The sequence below is a fragment of the Homo sapiens genome, chromosome 5 (assembly GCF_000001405.40).
Source record: "Homo sapiens chromosome 5, GRCh38.p14 Primary Assembly".
NCBI classification, from domain to species: domain Eukaryota; kingdom Metazoa; phylum Chordata; class Mammalia; order Primates; family Hominidae; genus Homo; species Homo sapiens.
Genome location: NC_000005.10, coordinates 14287671 through 14301226, shown reverse-complemented (window position 1 = coordinate 14301226; position 13556 = coordinate 14287671). Strand labels below are relative to the sequence as shown.

At 42.6% G+C, this 13556-nt stretch overlaps 1 protein-coding gene across 10 annotated transcripts in view; it reads right to left on the bottom strand.

Moving 5' to 3' along the window:
- The window catches only part of TRIO (trio Rho guanine nucleotide exchange factor), a 366863-nt gene that overhangs the window by 208978 nt on the left and 144329 nt on the right, over positions 1-13556 (bottom strand). For all 10 annotated transcript variants that reach the window (NR_134469.2, XM_047417679.1, NM_007118.4 and 7 more), the window contains 3 exons: positions 9999-10511; positions 8093-8215; positions 3964-4155 (listed from right to left, as the gene is read on the bottom strand). Coding sequence is in view for 9 of the 10 variants with exons in the window: in XM_047417679.1 (XP_047273635.1) it covers positions 3964-4155; positions 8093-8215; positions 9999-10511 (828 nt within the window). In the remaining variant the exon portion in view is untranslated. The remainder of the gene's footprint in view (positions 1-3963; positions 4156-8092; positions 8216-9998; positions 10512-13556) is intronic.

Sequence of the window (13556 nt, the reverse complement as noted above, 5' to 3'; positions counted from 1 at the left end):
TTGCAAAACAGAGGCAAGCAGAGGAGGGGAACAGTGATTCATATACATAGCTTTTAAGAGGAGAACTTGGATAAATAATTAACAGATTGCTTTTCCTAAGCATTTACTCTACTACTCCCTGTCTGCTGAGAGGGGGCCTCCAATCTGGGAGCCACTCATTTCTTCTGCCTATTCTGGGTCCCACCAACCAGAGCTGGGATCCTTGAAGCTAGTGAACTGCACTCCCATCCATCTCTCACCCCCGCCACCTCTTGACGGAGCCTCAGCTGAGCACAGGCACTAAGCTGGACTTAGGAGACAAAGGGACGGAAATTTCCTAGATTTAGAACTTGCATCTATGTCATGTTTATAATAAATGTTAATTCTAAAAATATTTATGGGAAGTGAACTTTTATAAGAATATTAATGCAAGTGTGAAACAGTTTGTTATTATGTCAGGAACTGAAAGACCTAGCCATAGACCTCAGCGAAAGTTCTAGCTTGGGAAACATGGCCAAATCCCTCCCCATACAGATTATCAGGACAATAATACTACAGTCCCATCTGCTCCACCAGGCTGATTTAAGGATGAAATGAGATTTCATGTTAAAGGGTTCTCTAAATATTAAAGAACTATACAAACACTGTTACTTTATTTTTGGTTATTATCAAAGTACAGAAGGCCTAAAGTCATAGATAAATTAAGGTGATCGGATGTGTGGTTCACTCTGCAGGTAAGCCTCTGCAAGCACTACCCGAGTGGATAGAAATGTGTATCTGTGCTGTCAATTACAGCAGCCATTGGCCACATGTTGCTCCCGATACAGTGAATAAGCAACTACATTTTAATTTAATTCTATTTTTTAAAATGATTTTATCATCTTGCTATTTAACTCTGAGTAGCTTCAATAGCCACACATGGTGACAGGCCATCACAATGGGCAGTGCAGCTTGAGGTCACAGTAAAAAGATATTTTAAGCTGTAGCAAAATCAAGTCACTTTGTTTTATAAAAATGTTAATTCTAATGGTATCTGCTGTGAAAGCGTCTTAATATAAAGGGTCTGTCCTGTGGATATACCACATGACCAAGACAAGCGAAGGCTGGAGCCCCTAAGCAACATCTACCAGTAACAACATTAACACTGTGGTTGTGTGTCCACATATTTGCAAACGGATACTGTGATCCCACAACCTTCACTGGAGATGACACAAAACAGACTGGCTGACACATCTATGGAAGTTATAGCATCTATGAAACATCATTCTCATCTAGCTTTAACTTCAGAGTTATGTTTATAAAGCCACAGCAAATGCTAGCACACCACCACCCATGGAGAGAGAGGGCAGGGCCGGACGGTGCAGCTAAGAGCTGTAATCCTTACAGAGAAGGCGGCTGCCGTTAGTAAGCTCATTAACCATGGAGTCACATATTTGAGCCTTATGTCCCCCTAATCAGATTTAAATTCCACATGAACACTCTGGATGTGATTCAAAGAGGTGACTATGATGGAAACTTAACTTAGGATGTCCAAGCTTCTGGTCCTTTCCAGACTGAGTTTATGAAAACAGGTTGAGCATAACTAGAAGGCAAATCATTTAAAATGAGGGAACAACGTTGACCTAGTCTTGGGATTGCTCTCTTGGGAAAAGAAAACTACTTTAGTGAGGAGCATCAGAATTTCAAGGATCTTACTTTTCTTCAGTGAGGGGGACGAGACACAACACATTTTTACTTGCAAGTAAGGACTGTCTTTCTGAAGACGTCCTAATCTCCCATCTGTGCATTTCAGTTGTCTACGTGCAGGCCTTGTTGCTTCGTTAAGGTCTGGAATACACGCTGGGCTCCTTCTTCATTAGGCTACTGTCCCTTCACTCCTATTTGGCTTCTTCTCTGGCCACCGTACATGCACTGAGACTTCAGGCGCCCTTACAGTTCATGCAGGGTCCCATGAAATTCTGTTCAATAATGTGTTCACCTAGTTTCATTTCCTTCAAATCCATAAATTACACTCATTCATTTTATCCAGATGAGAATACCCCAGGCTCTTTCAATTTTGCTGTATGTTTAAAATTTTTTATAATAAAACACTGGAAGGAAAATGCCCCATGACACCCATGTTTCTAGATTATTTTCAGGCAGGTCACAGTGGTAATTAATCTCTGGGTTTATTTACAATTCTGAATCTCATCATGTTTATGAAAGATGTTCTCTGTGTGTTATGCTTCAGCCTGACATTCACCCACGCAGTTTATCCTGCTTCAAATTCATTCATATCACCTTACTGCCAAATGATCGAGGGTATTGCTACTTTGTACAACGATAAGGATCGGAGATGGCTACAGGGTCATGAAGATGGTTTTATTTACGCTGAAGCAGTTCCTGTTACTTTAAAAAGTTGTTTTTGTGTGTGGGCTTTTGTCTATCTTTTATCACAAAATTAGTCAAATGCAAAAAGTTAGAAAGTAGAAAAATCCTTACCATTGAAACTCTCAGCTTTTACATGGTGCTATGAAGGTTTGTTTCTCTTTATAAATCACTCAGCTTCCTCTCTTGCTTTATACTTTAAAGGTCTCTAGAGTTGAGATCACTGCTAATTAGTGTCTTGTGCAACATTCTGACTGCCCTGCCAAAATCCTAGGCAAGTTGGGGCCTCTATCTTCCTTTACTGACTTCTTCACTCTTCAACAGAGACTGTTTCTAGATGAAAGAGATACTATTTCCTTTTTAAGAAGCATCCGTGCAAATGCCTGAATCCAGTCTTTCCCCCAAAAATTAACCCTGAGGAAGATATACTGATATTTTTCCTTTTTAAATTAAGCAACCATTTTCCTCTACCCCATATATGTGTCTTCCTGGTGGTTAAAAGTTCCTATGCCCTTTCTCCACATCCTGAAAAGGTACTCACTGTGCTGCTCACCTTCCGATAATAAACTCTGAGTCATGAGCAAATCCCTTTCATTTTGCTACTTTCAGAGCGTTTGTTTAAGCAAGTTTGCTTAAATGGAGGTATGGGGAGTGTTGGGGGCATATATTACCCATTACTTCTTAAACTAGAAATTTTGACACAACACATCTGTCAACAAATGAAGCCAAAGTCAGATGCCATGTAGCTAAGTTTATAATTATGAAAGACACTGTCAACTGTGTACCCAAAAAAGCCATTTTCCTCCCTCACCCTTGCGGGCAGCACCTCCCTAAGGAGGCTAAACACCAGATCCACCCTTTCCCCCACCCCTTGCAGCAAGGCATGGATGTGCACCCCAAGACTAGCCGAGGGGAAATGTGCTGGGGGCGGGGCCTCTGGAAATAATGTTTCCCTTATAAAGTGGCAGGCAAAGACAGCTACAGCCATCCCTGCGGAGGGTGAGCACTGTGGCTGAGGAGGAGCTGGTGCGTGGAGCTGAGGTGTGCTGCCCTGACTGTGAGGGGAGGCCCAGCAAGCCTGAGGGCAGCAGACACCACCCCTCCATAGCCGTGCAGCTAGAGGTGCCTTCGCCTTAGAACTTCGCAGTTTGTGAGAAAACTAAACCCTTGACATCTGCACCACGGATGGGCGTTCCGTTCCTTGCTACCAAACCATCCCAATTGGAGTAATAAAGCACTATCAACAAGGAATAAGAGCAAAGAAGGAGCCAGGAGAGGAGGGGAAGAGAAGAGCAGCTGCCACTTCTTAGTGCTTACTGTGCCGGGCACTGTGTAGGGCACCTAGCATCACATTTACATCAACAGTCCACTCAAACAGGTACTTTTATTTCTACTTTACAAATGAAAAAACAAAACAGAGAGGCTAAGTCACTTGCCTAAGGTTACGCAGCAAGGACTAAAAGAGCTGGAATTTAAACTCAGGGCCAAGTGACTTCAGAGCTCACATGCGGAGCTCACAGTATGTGCTACACAAGAGTGTTTGCACACACACCAATATTCATGGAGGAAGAACTATTCTGGTTACCACCTCGTGGGCTGGGGGTTCAAGGCACTGACCTTTTCGGCCTTCTGGTGGAAAATGGAGGACATGTCCAGCAAGGTGCTCCGCTCATCCAGGGCTGCCGCAAACGCCTTCCACTCCTGCTCCAGCTGACTCGCGATCTGCCTGATCTGCTGCGAGGCATAGTGGCCAGACTCCACCAGACGATTGGCCACCGACATGATGCGGTTTATATTTACATACACGTTCTGGAAAGTGGGCAGGAAAAGAGGGCTCCTTAGGGGAGAGCAAATAGGAGGCTCCCTTCTAAGAAGCCCAGATGCCACCTGCTGAAACACAGGCTTCTAACAGTGATCACATCTCTCCCAGGAGCATCACCTGATATATATAATATTATACATATTTGCTCTCTAGATTTCCATAAACTTGAAGTATTGGTTTCCATTTCTATTTTTAAAACTGTAAAATTACAAATCAACTAGCTGAAAGGCATAATTGTTCAGCACAAAGCAATCAAATACACAAGTGGGTGCACACAAATATACTATTACTCACTTCTTGGCTTCAAATACTGAACAGGGTCCAGATGGCAAGCCTGCTGCCAGGCAGTCACAGAGAACTGAGGGACCCAGCGCTCTGGTTTTTAACCAGAACCCAGAAACCCAAAAACACGTACCTAGCAACCAAAGGCTATTTGTGTGAAAGCAAGCTCTCCTTTCTACATATGCCCAAGTCATTTTTGGGTGCCAACAGAAAATATTCTGTAAATAGATCCACCTTCTCCCAGGAATATGAATTGCAGTAAAAACACAACAACGCTATGCTCAAATTTTAAATAAAGCTTTTCTACTCTGTCAAAATTCCTATCTTCAAGTCTATCAGTTTATTGCAAAAATAGGGATTTTAAAAACCCACCCTTTTTGCAGAACAAGCTCTCATATGGAGTTTCCCTTTCCACCTCCAAAGTTCTTTAAGGCTCAGTATCGCAGGGTGTGGTGTGGTGCGGGATTCAGACCTTCAGCAAATCCGAAGTTGCTGTTGTTCATGTATTTTTTATTTTTTTCACTGTTACCACATCACTCCTTCCCATGGGTCCCCCAAAATCGTAGATACCTCTTTGGCTCCTCTCAACGTTGCCCCAATCTGATTTCCTGATCTGTCCAAACTTCCCTACGTTTTTCCCCCTTCTCTCACTTCCCACACAACCCCTCTGAGCAAATCTCCCACTGCCTCGAACAAGGACCCCACAACAGCCTCCTTCCTGTCTCTTGCTGCCTGCAGACCACCCAAGTAAGCAGCTGAAAGAACTCACTTGTTCATTATTTCTTTGTATCTTCTTTCATTCATCCTTTCCCTCTATTTCTGACCCAAACCAGAACTTGGTGGAGTTGCCTCTGTCTGGGATTAGAGCCACAGGACTCCAGCCTCAGGGTTACATCTCCGGGCTGCATCTGAAGGCTAGAATCAGCTAACAGACATCGCATGTCTGGAGTCGCAGAAAGAGGCTGCAACAGTCAAGCCATGCTCAGCAAGGTGACCTCTCTGGCTCGTGTGGCATTAACGCTCTAACTGGCATCTGGTAAATTAAAAGCAAGGCCTCCCATTCCCAAGTGCATTCTTTCTCTCTTTTCCTCCCTCCTAGTAAAGTGACAAGAAACTAGATTTGCTAATTTTGCTTTCTCTATATCCTTAAAAGAGAAAAAGCCAGTCCGACAGGTCTGTTAGGAAAAGCACAAGATGCACTCTGTTAGGATCTGGAGAAGAGATGTCTCCTTGGGTGGCTCTATTGTGACAACCACTGACCATACCTGCCCATTCCTAGATTGTAACAGCTTCCTGTGTCACTTTTATATAAAAACAGACTTTACTAGTCTATGTATGATGCTTTTTCCATCTCTCCATCACTTCTAGCACACATAAACGAGTATGGTGGCATACAGCCTAAATCTACAGCCTGGACATCAATATGGTAATGTGCAATTCCCTAAATTAAAAGTACCTACACCTACAGGCTTATCATCATAGTTTTTATAAATATCTGTTAGAGTAGAACATGCATAATTGTTGGTATCCCTTAATATGCTTTCTTTAAAAGCTGTTAACTTGGCATATTGGTATTTAGTATCCTTATTTTGTCAGAAATTGTTCAAAACACTATAGCGAGCAGAAGGGGCTGAAGGTTAAATACCCTTGCCCTGCATTATTAAATGCCACAGATACAAGGGATTCGTGGAGGTATTCAACACAAGGAGCAGGCCTGGTCCAGAAAGCTCCCCAGCAGGCATCACCTTCATGGCACCGAGCTACCCGCATGCATTGTATTACAAGTTTAACTTAGAAAAGTAACAGAAGTATATTGTAGAAAATTAGAAAATATATTCGACCCCCCTCCCAAAAAAAATAGCTGTAACTCATACTTTTAAGTTTCTTACCTGCTTTAACTGCATCTTTAATTATATTGATAACATCACTGGTAAGAATTAACATTTATACAGTACTTACTATATGTCAAGCAGTATGTTTTGCATTTTACATATACATGTAATACCATGGAAGGCAGGTATTACCCCCAGTTTACAGATTAGGAAACTGAGGCTCGAAGAGGTTAAACAGCCTTCCCAAGGTCACATGGCAAATAAGAAAGTCAGAATTAAAAGCCTCTACGTCCACAACCCATTTTCCTGTCTTCTACACTATGGTTCCTATTCCCTTGAGTCCTAAATCTGCCACTAATAATGCTGAAGAAAGGGGGAAGAGAGAATATATTTTTCTGTTCATTTCTAGCACATATTTTAGTATTTCTAGTTTTTAAAGTATGTGGCATAGCAGACTGAATGGTCTCTTGCCAAAAGTTTCAGAAAATTCTAAAAAAACTGACAGTAATTTTTTACAAACAAATTTTTATCTATGCCCAGGTTTGACGATTCGAACCAGAAATTCTCTTACTTTAAATTCTAGAACAGACGTAAAACTTTGATGGCATTTATTACTAAAAATTATATTGCAAAATCTTATCTTTGAAACTACCTAAATTGTAGCACCTAGTTGACTGTATTTTAATTAAATGGCATCTTTCTGAATTAACTTAAACAAAAACCCTGTCTTCATATTGCTTTATTTGTATTTTTGTTTTTGAGACAAGGTCTTGCTCTGTCACCCAAGCTGGAATGCAGTGGCGTGATCATAACTCACTGTTGCCTGCAACTCCTGGGCTCAAGCAATCCTCCAGCCTCAGCCTCCCAAATAGCTGGGACTACAGGTGTGCACCACCACACTTGGCTAATTTTTTAATTATTATTTTTTTTTTTTAGAGATGGGGTCTTGCTGTGTTGCCCAGGCCGGTTCATATTGCTTTAATGCTCTACAACAAACGTTACAAGGTTTAAGAGTGGACAATCCTCACAAGGCTGGCTTAAAGTCCAAACCAAAACTCCTTGTCCCTGAAGAGGAAATTTCTAGAAGCTTCACAGACTACAGAGGCAAGCAAATGTCCTATAGAACATACAGTTTTAGTAACATTAACTATAAAACTGTAACAGAAGTGCTACTCAAAATTCAGTGTTTTGGTTTGGTTTTGGTTTCTGTGATGTAGTCCTACAGTCACCCCCTATCTGGCCTCTAAGATCCTGACAGTCACGACAGCCAAGGGTAGCAGATGCAACAACCTTAAAGAGGGCCAGGGGATCCCAGGCAAGGCTGAGGGCCAGATCCCAGTCCTCCAGCTCAGCTTGGAAGGAAATCTCATGCCTCAGGAGAACTAGCTAGTGCCCTGAGGTCAGCAGCAGGCTTGCTCCTTTCGCTGTCATGAACAGCAGCCAGCAAACTGACAGCGCTCCGTCTGGGGGACTCACTGTGCCTCCCAGCAGCTTTGCTGGGGCCCCCGTGGGCTCCTATGAAGTGCAGCACAGGAGCCAGCATCCCAAGTGTCTGTGCTGAACTAGCCAAGTCATTGGTTCAAGTTTCACTGGTTCGTCTGTTTGCTTGTTTTCATTTTTGTTTAAAACTTAAAATGTGGGATAGTGAGACAATGGAACCCTAGGGAACACCCTCCATGTGAAGGTCAGCTGCTACAATCAACAGCCACTCCGAAGGCCCCTTGAAAGCCCTAGCATACAATTTGCCAAATGCCTCCCATTTGCTAAAACACTGTCACATGCCAGGGTCCAGCTGTTCCGAGTGTCTTACCATACAGTTCATGGCAAAGTGATTGTGCTGCGTCTGAAGCTCCATGGCATGAGGGTGGCTGGTCCCAATCTCTGTGTAGCTGTTTAGAAACAGGCCTTTGTTGTGTGTGATCCAGTCAAACATCTACCGGAAGGAAAAAGACAACCCGCAATCACTCCAGAAAGAGAAATTACTGACACAAGCCCACAGATGGGGCAGTACCAAGAAAGGGCAACTTCCTTCCCTGGACAACTTCAAGCGCTGTCTGATTCTCTCAGAAGAGTCTTTACTTCGAAGAACAAGTCAGCAGTTCTGAACTTGCAGGACCTACCAGAAAATCTTATCTGATGTGTTCCTCTTACAGAGAAGGAATTAAGAAGCAGATAAGTAAAGAGAGTTACTCTAATCCCCCAGGCTGATTAAAAACTCTGATCCTCTGACTCTCAGCCCAGTCTCCCTGCCACGCTGAACTACTTAATTTGCCACAGTGAGGTTCAATTAAAGACCCGTTAGGGTGAAATTAGGAACTTATGGGTCTCTGGATGGGTTCTGCTGTGCCCACAGGTTACTGACAGAAATATCAATGACTAAAAGATTCCACTGTTTGATCAAGAAGTACACAGACACCTGTGCAGATTGCAAAAACATAAAATTTACTATAAAAAAGGTGGGAAAAACTAACTATGACATCTCCCTTAAGGTTCAATATAGATGTTACTTGGACAAGGATGTCAATTAAGACATTTGCAATGAAAACATTTAAGAAAATATAGATGACTATCATCAATTAGCATTGCTACCATGACTTGAACCAGAATCCCAGTGACAGTAACCTGGTCTTCCAGTAATTGAAAAGAAGGTATTCCAGTCTCTTAGACAAGGTGCTACTTAAAACAAAAGAACACTGACAGATACATTAAAAGCTTTAGTAATAAAAACACTGGATTATCACCTTTTGAAAAGTCCTTTTACATCCAAGAATTCTAATGTGGTTTTTTACTTTACAAAATATTCTCCTGTCCATGTAATATAAAATTCAATGAGCTCCAATAAAACTCAATGATTAATTCACCCATGTTCATGGCTTGCAACACATACCTATGGGTAAGTGCCCAGTTTCCACATTGCTAAGATTCAATTAGCCAGTAATTGATAAGGATTCACTTTGACCAGTTGGTCTGCCTGGTGCATAAGAATAAAACATGAGACTAGAGGTGATTACCAACTATATTACCCAGAAACTGTTACTTTTAACACATTACTCATCTTGATTTTAAAAAACATACTCAATAGATTGGAATGGTGTTTTGTCAATAACATAACCCTGTGAAATTTTCACTTTTTTTTTTTTTTTTTTTTTTTTTTTTAAGACGGAGTCTCACTCTGTCGCCCAGGCCGAAATGCAATGGCACGATCTTGGCTCACTGCAACCTCTGCCTCATGGGTTCAAGCGATTCTCCTGCCTCAGCCTCCTGAGTAGCTGGGATTACAGGCGCGTGCCACCACACCCGGCTAATTTTCGTATTTTTAGTAGAGACGGGGTTTCACTATGTTGGCCAGACTGGTCTCAATCTCCTGACCTCAGGTGATCAGCCCACCTCGGCCTCCCAAAGGGCTGGGATTACAGGCGTGAGCACGGCCGAAATGTTCACTCTTTTAAGTGAAAATATCATTCCTATCTTACAGGCATCCTAGACCAAAGAATAAGTAATTTGAACTCAAAATTTCTAAAACAGCACTGTATTGCACAACGAGTAAAACCGGAAAACAGATTTCAGTGCCATTTCTGAAATGACTCTCGCTGGTTTAGAGCACACACGGTGAGTATAGCCTTACCATTCTCCACCTTTTCTCTTTCCTTCCACCCGAACCCACCAGCGCTGGCTTCCCCCATGTCCACTGAGGCATTAGCCTCCCCCGTCTTTACCTTCTCAGCATCCTGTTCAAACAGCCTCAGCTGGAAGCACTGGTCCAGCTTCAGCTTCCTCACATGCCACATCTGGTGCAGATGCTGCCGTGTCGAGTGCAGCCGGTCCAGCATGGTGGACACCTTGGGCAAGAGGTTCTGCAGGTCCGCATTGCCTGAGCCTGAGTTCTTTTTGGGAAAGCTTTCACTGCTCTGTATCCTCTGAAGCAGCTTCTGTCCCTCCAAATCCAGGTCCTCGATGGGGGCCTTAATCACCTTCTTCTTCAGCTGAGAATGTTCCTCGATCATATTCCGAGCCCCCTCTAAATCCTGAGGCAGCTCCTTCTTAGCTAGGATGTCCTGAAGTTCCTCCAGCCGAGACAGCATGTGGGTGGCATTGCTAATGTAGTCTTCAAAAGCAACTCTGATTTCAATCCATTCTTCGTGGTTGTATTCCAGGCAGCCATCAAACTCAGGAGTTAGCTGAGAAGGATCAACTACTTTGGTAAGGCCTTCTAAAGAGACCATATTTGTCTTAAGGGAAAAAAAATCACGTATGAGAAGATGAACCAATTTTATATAGTTTTAACATAATGCAATTTGCAATGCTCAGTCACAGGTTTTCAAAGTTAAAGTAATCTATTTATAGAAAACATAACATACCTGGTTCTGGCCCCATAAAAATAAATGTAGATGAAAGAAGCATTATCAGTACAATGAAAGACAAATCCATTATAGCAACACATATATGTCAGCTGGAATACCCAAAACTGTAGAATCGTGTATTTCATGAGAGCTAAAGAAATGAGATTTCTTTCCAAGAAGATGGAGATTAACCCACTATAACAGACACATTAAACTAGGAAACAGGTTAAATTGCAAGTTCAGAGCAAACAATTCAGAAATTTCACTTACATCAATGCATTCTTCTCCCCATTCTTTTTCATCCATGCCAGAAACTCTGTGGAGGTTTTCTACTACTTGCTATTACACAAACGTCTTGCTCAAGGGCATCAAAACCCTTTTAAGTGTAACATCACTCTAAATTCAATTACGTGTGGGCTGCCTATTAAACGATGAATGCTGCTCCAACCAGACCACCCTATCATTCATCTTGCCTAAGCCTAACCCCACTGCCCATCAAATAACAGATGATGGGATATGAATGAATTTATAAAAATTTAGAAAATATTCAAGAGTTGGCAAGAAAGCTGGCAGAGGCTCATTTGACAGAGCTAAGGATAGAGGCAATGTTTTATTCATTGCAATAATCTGCTGTGATTCTGAACAGTCCTAGAGTTGTATATAATCTGTACTACATTGCAATTTAACAGTGACAAAGTTTTAGTCAATTACAGTCTAAGCAAGAAATCTTTATATTTATTATTATTATTTTTTTTTGAGATGGAGTCTTGCTCTGTCACCCAGGCTGGAGTGCAGTGGCGCAGTCTCAGCTTACTGCAACCTCTGCCTCCCAGGTTCAAGTGATCTCCTGCCTCAGCCTCCCGAGTAGCTGGGACTACAGGTGCCCACCACCACACCAGGCTAATTCTTTTGTATTTTTAGTAGAGACGGGGTTTCACCATGTTGGTCACGCTGGTTTCAAATTCCTGATCTCAAATGATCCACCCACTTCAGCCTCCCAAAGTGCTGGGATTACAGGCATGAGACATCGCACACGACCTTTTTTTTTAAAAAAGGAAAAAAAGGGTCATGCTCTGTCTTCCAGACTGGAGTGTGGCGATGATTACATGCTGTAAGCTTAAATTCCTGGGCTCAAGCCATCCTCCCATCTTAAGCCTCTTGAGTAGCTGGAATTACACGTGTGCCACCACACCTGGTGATTTTTGTTTGTTTGTTTTTTGAGACAGGGTTTTGCTCTTGTTGCCCATGCTGCAGTGCAGTGGTGCAACCTCAGCTCACTGCAACCTACACCTTCCGATTTCAAGTGATTCTCCTGCCTCAGCCTCCCGAGTAGCTGGGATTACAGGTGACTTACACCACGCTCAGCTAATTTTTGTATTTTTAGTAGAGATGGAGTTTCACCATGTTGGCCAGGTTGTCTCGAACTCCTGACCTTGTGATCCGCCCGCCTCGGCCTTCCAAAGTGCTGGGATTACAGGCATGAGCCACCGCGCCCGGCCACACCTGGCTAATTTTTAAAACAAAATATAGAGACAGGCTCTTGCTAAGTTTCTCAGGCTGGGCTCGAACTCCCAGCCTCAAGCAGTCCTCCTCCCTTAGAATCTCAAAGTGCTGGGATTACAGGCATGAGCCACTGTGCCTGGCCTCGGCAAGAAATCTTAACCTCACCTTATCATGATGTGAAGCAGATTAATATTAATATGCCTCAAGGAAAACATGGAGGGGGAAGATTAAATGCAAAGACAAAGGTGAAGGAGAAAGAGTTGTGACCTAGAACCAAAAGAGAAAACAAGAAGGGCTGGTCCGGCGTGCTGGTTGGCAAAAGAAACATCAGAAGGCAGCAGAGGTAGAAGAGGGATGACTCCTGATCCAGCACTTATGCCTACAATCCTACCATAGGCCCATTCCTCTCTCGTTTGCTGGACTTTTTTTTTTTTTGAGGCGGAATCTCGCTCTGTTGCCCAGGCTGGAGTGCAGCGGCACAATCTCGGCTCACTGCAAGCTCTGCCTCCCAGGTTCACGCCATTCTCCTGCCTCAGCCTCCCAAGTAGCTGGGACTACAGGTGCCTGCCACCACGCCCGGCTAATTTTTTGTATTTTAGTAGAGATGGGGTTTCACCGTGTTAGCCAGGATGGTCTCAATCTCCTGACCTCGTGGTCCGCCCGCCTCGGCCTCCCAAAGTGCTAGGATTACAGGCGTGAGCCACCACACCCGGTCCTGCTGGACTTTTAATAATCTCCACAGAGGCAATCACTGGGTGGGGAGAGAGAGGCTGGTAACAATGTAACAAGTTCCATAGAAAAACTGGTGCCTTTAAGAGCCCTGAGGGAGAGATCAAAACTGGACTGGAAAAACCTGTATGAATTGTATTGCCAGACCATTATTTTTACTTAAAACACTTATAATTAAATACAATGCACTTTCAATTCTGCATCAAGAAAATAATTAACACCCAATAAACTGTCCTCCAAAATTACTTCCTATTCTCTATGAAGATAAAGGCTTACTGGGTTCATCTTTCTGATGGAGTGTAGTAAACCTGAGTAGTTTCAAATTTAAAACTAAGTTCATATTTTGGATAGAAAAATGAGTACTATGGAAAGAATTTAAAAATCCAAGTAATACACCTGTGCAAACACTTTGAAAAGTATAGCATTATAACCTGAAGATTAAGGATTAACACTGTCTGATGTTTAATATTATTGCTGTTTACCTTAAAATACATGAATACATCCACTGAAACCTAACGTTTGAGCAGATTTGCCAGAGGAAGCAATCTATTCAACCAAAAAGTATTTCTTATTAGAAAATATTAAAATCTTATTCCAAATGGAGCAAGAATCAAGTTTCATGCTGGCAGGAAGACTTTCCTCCCATAATCATCTCATTAAACTAACTGCACCGAAGGCCTTGTCAGAACCTTGGTAGCTTAA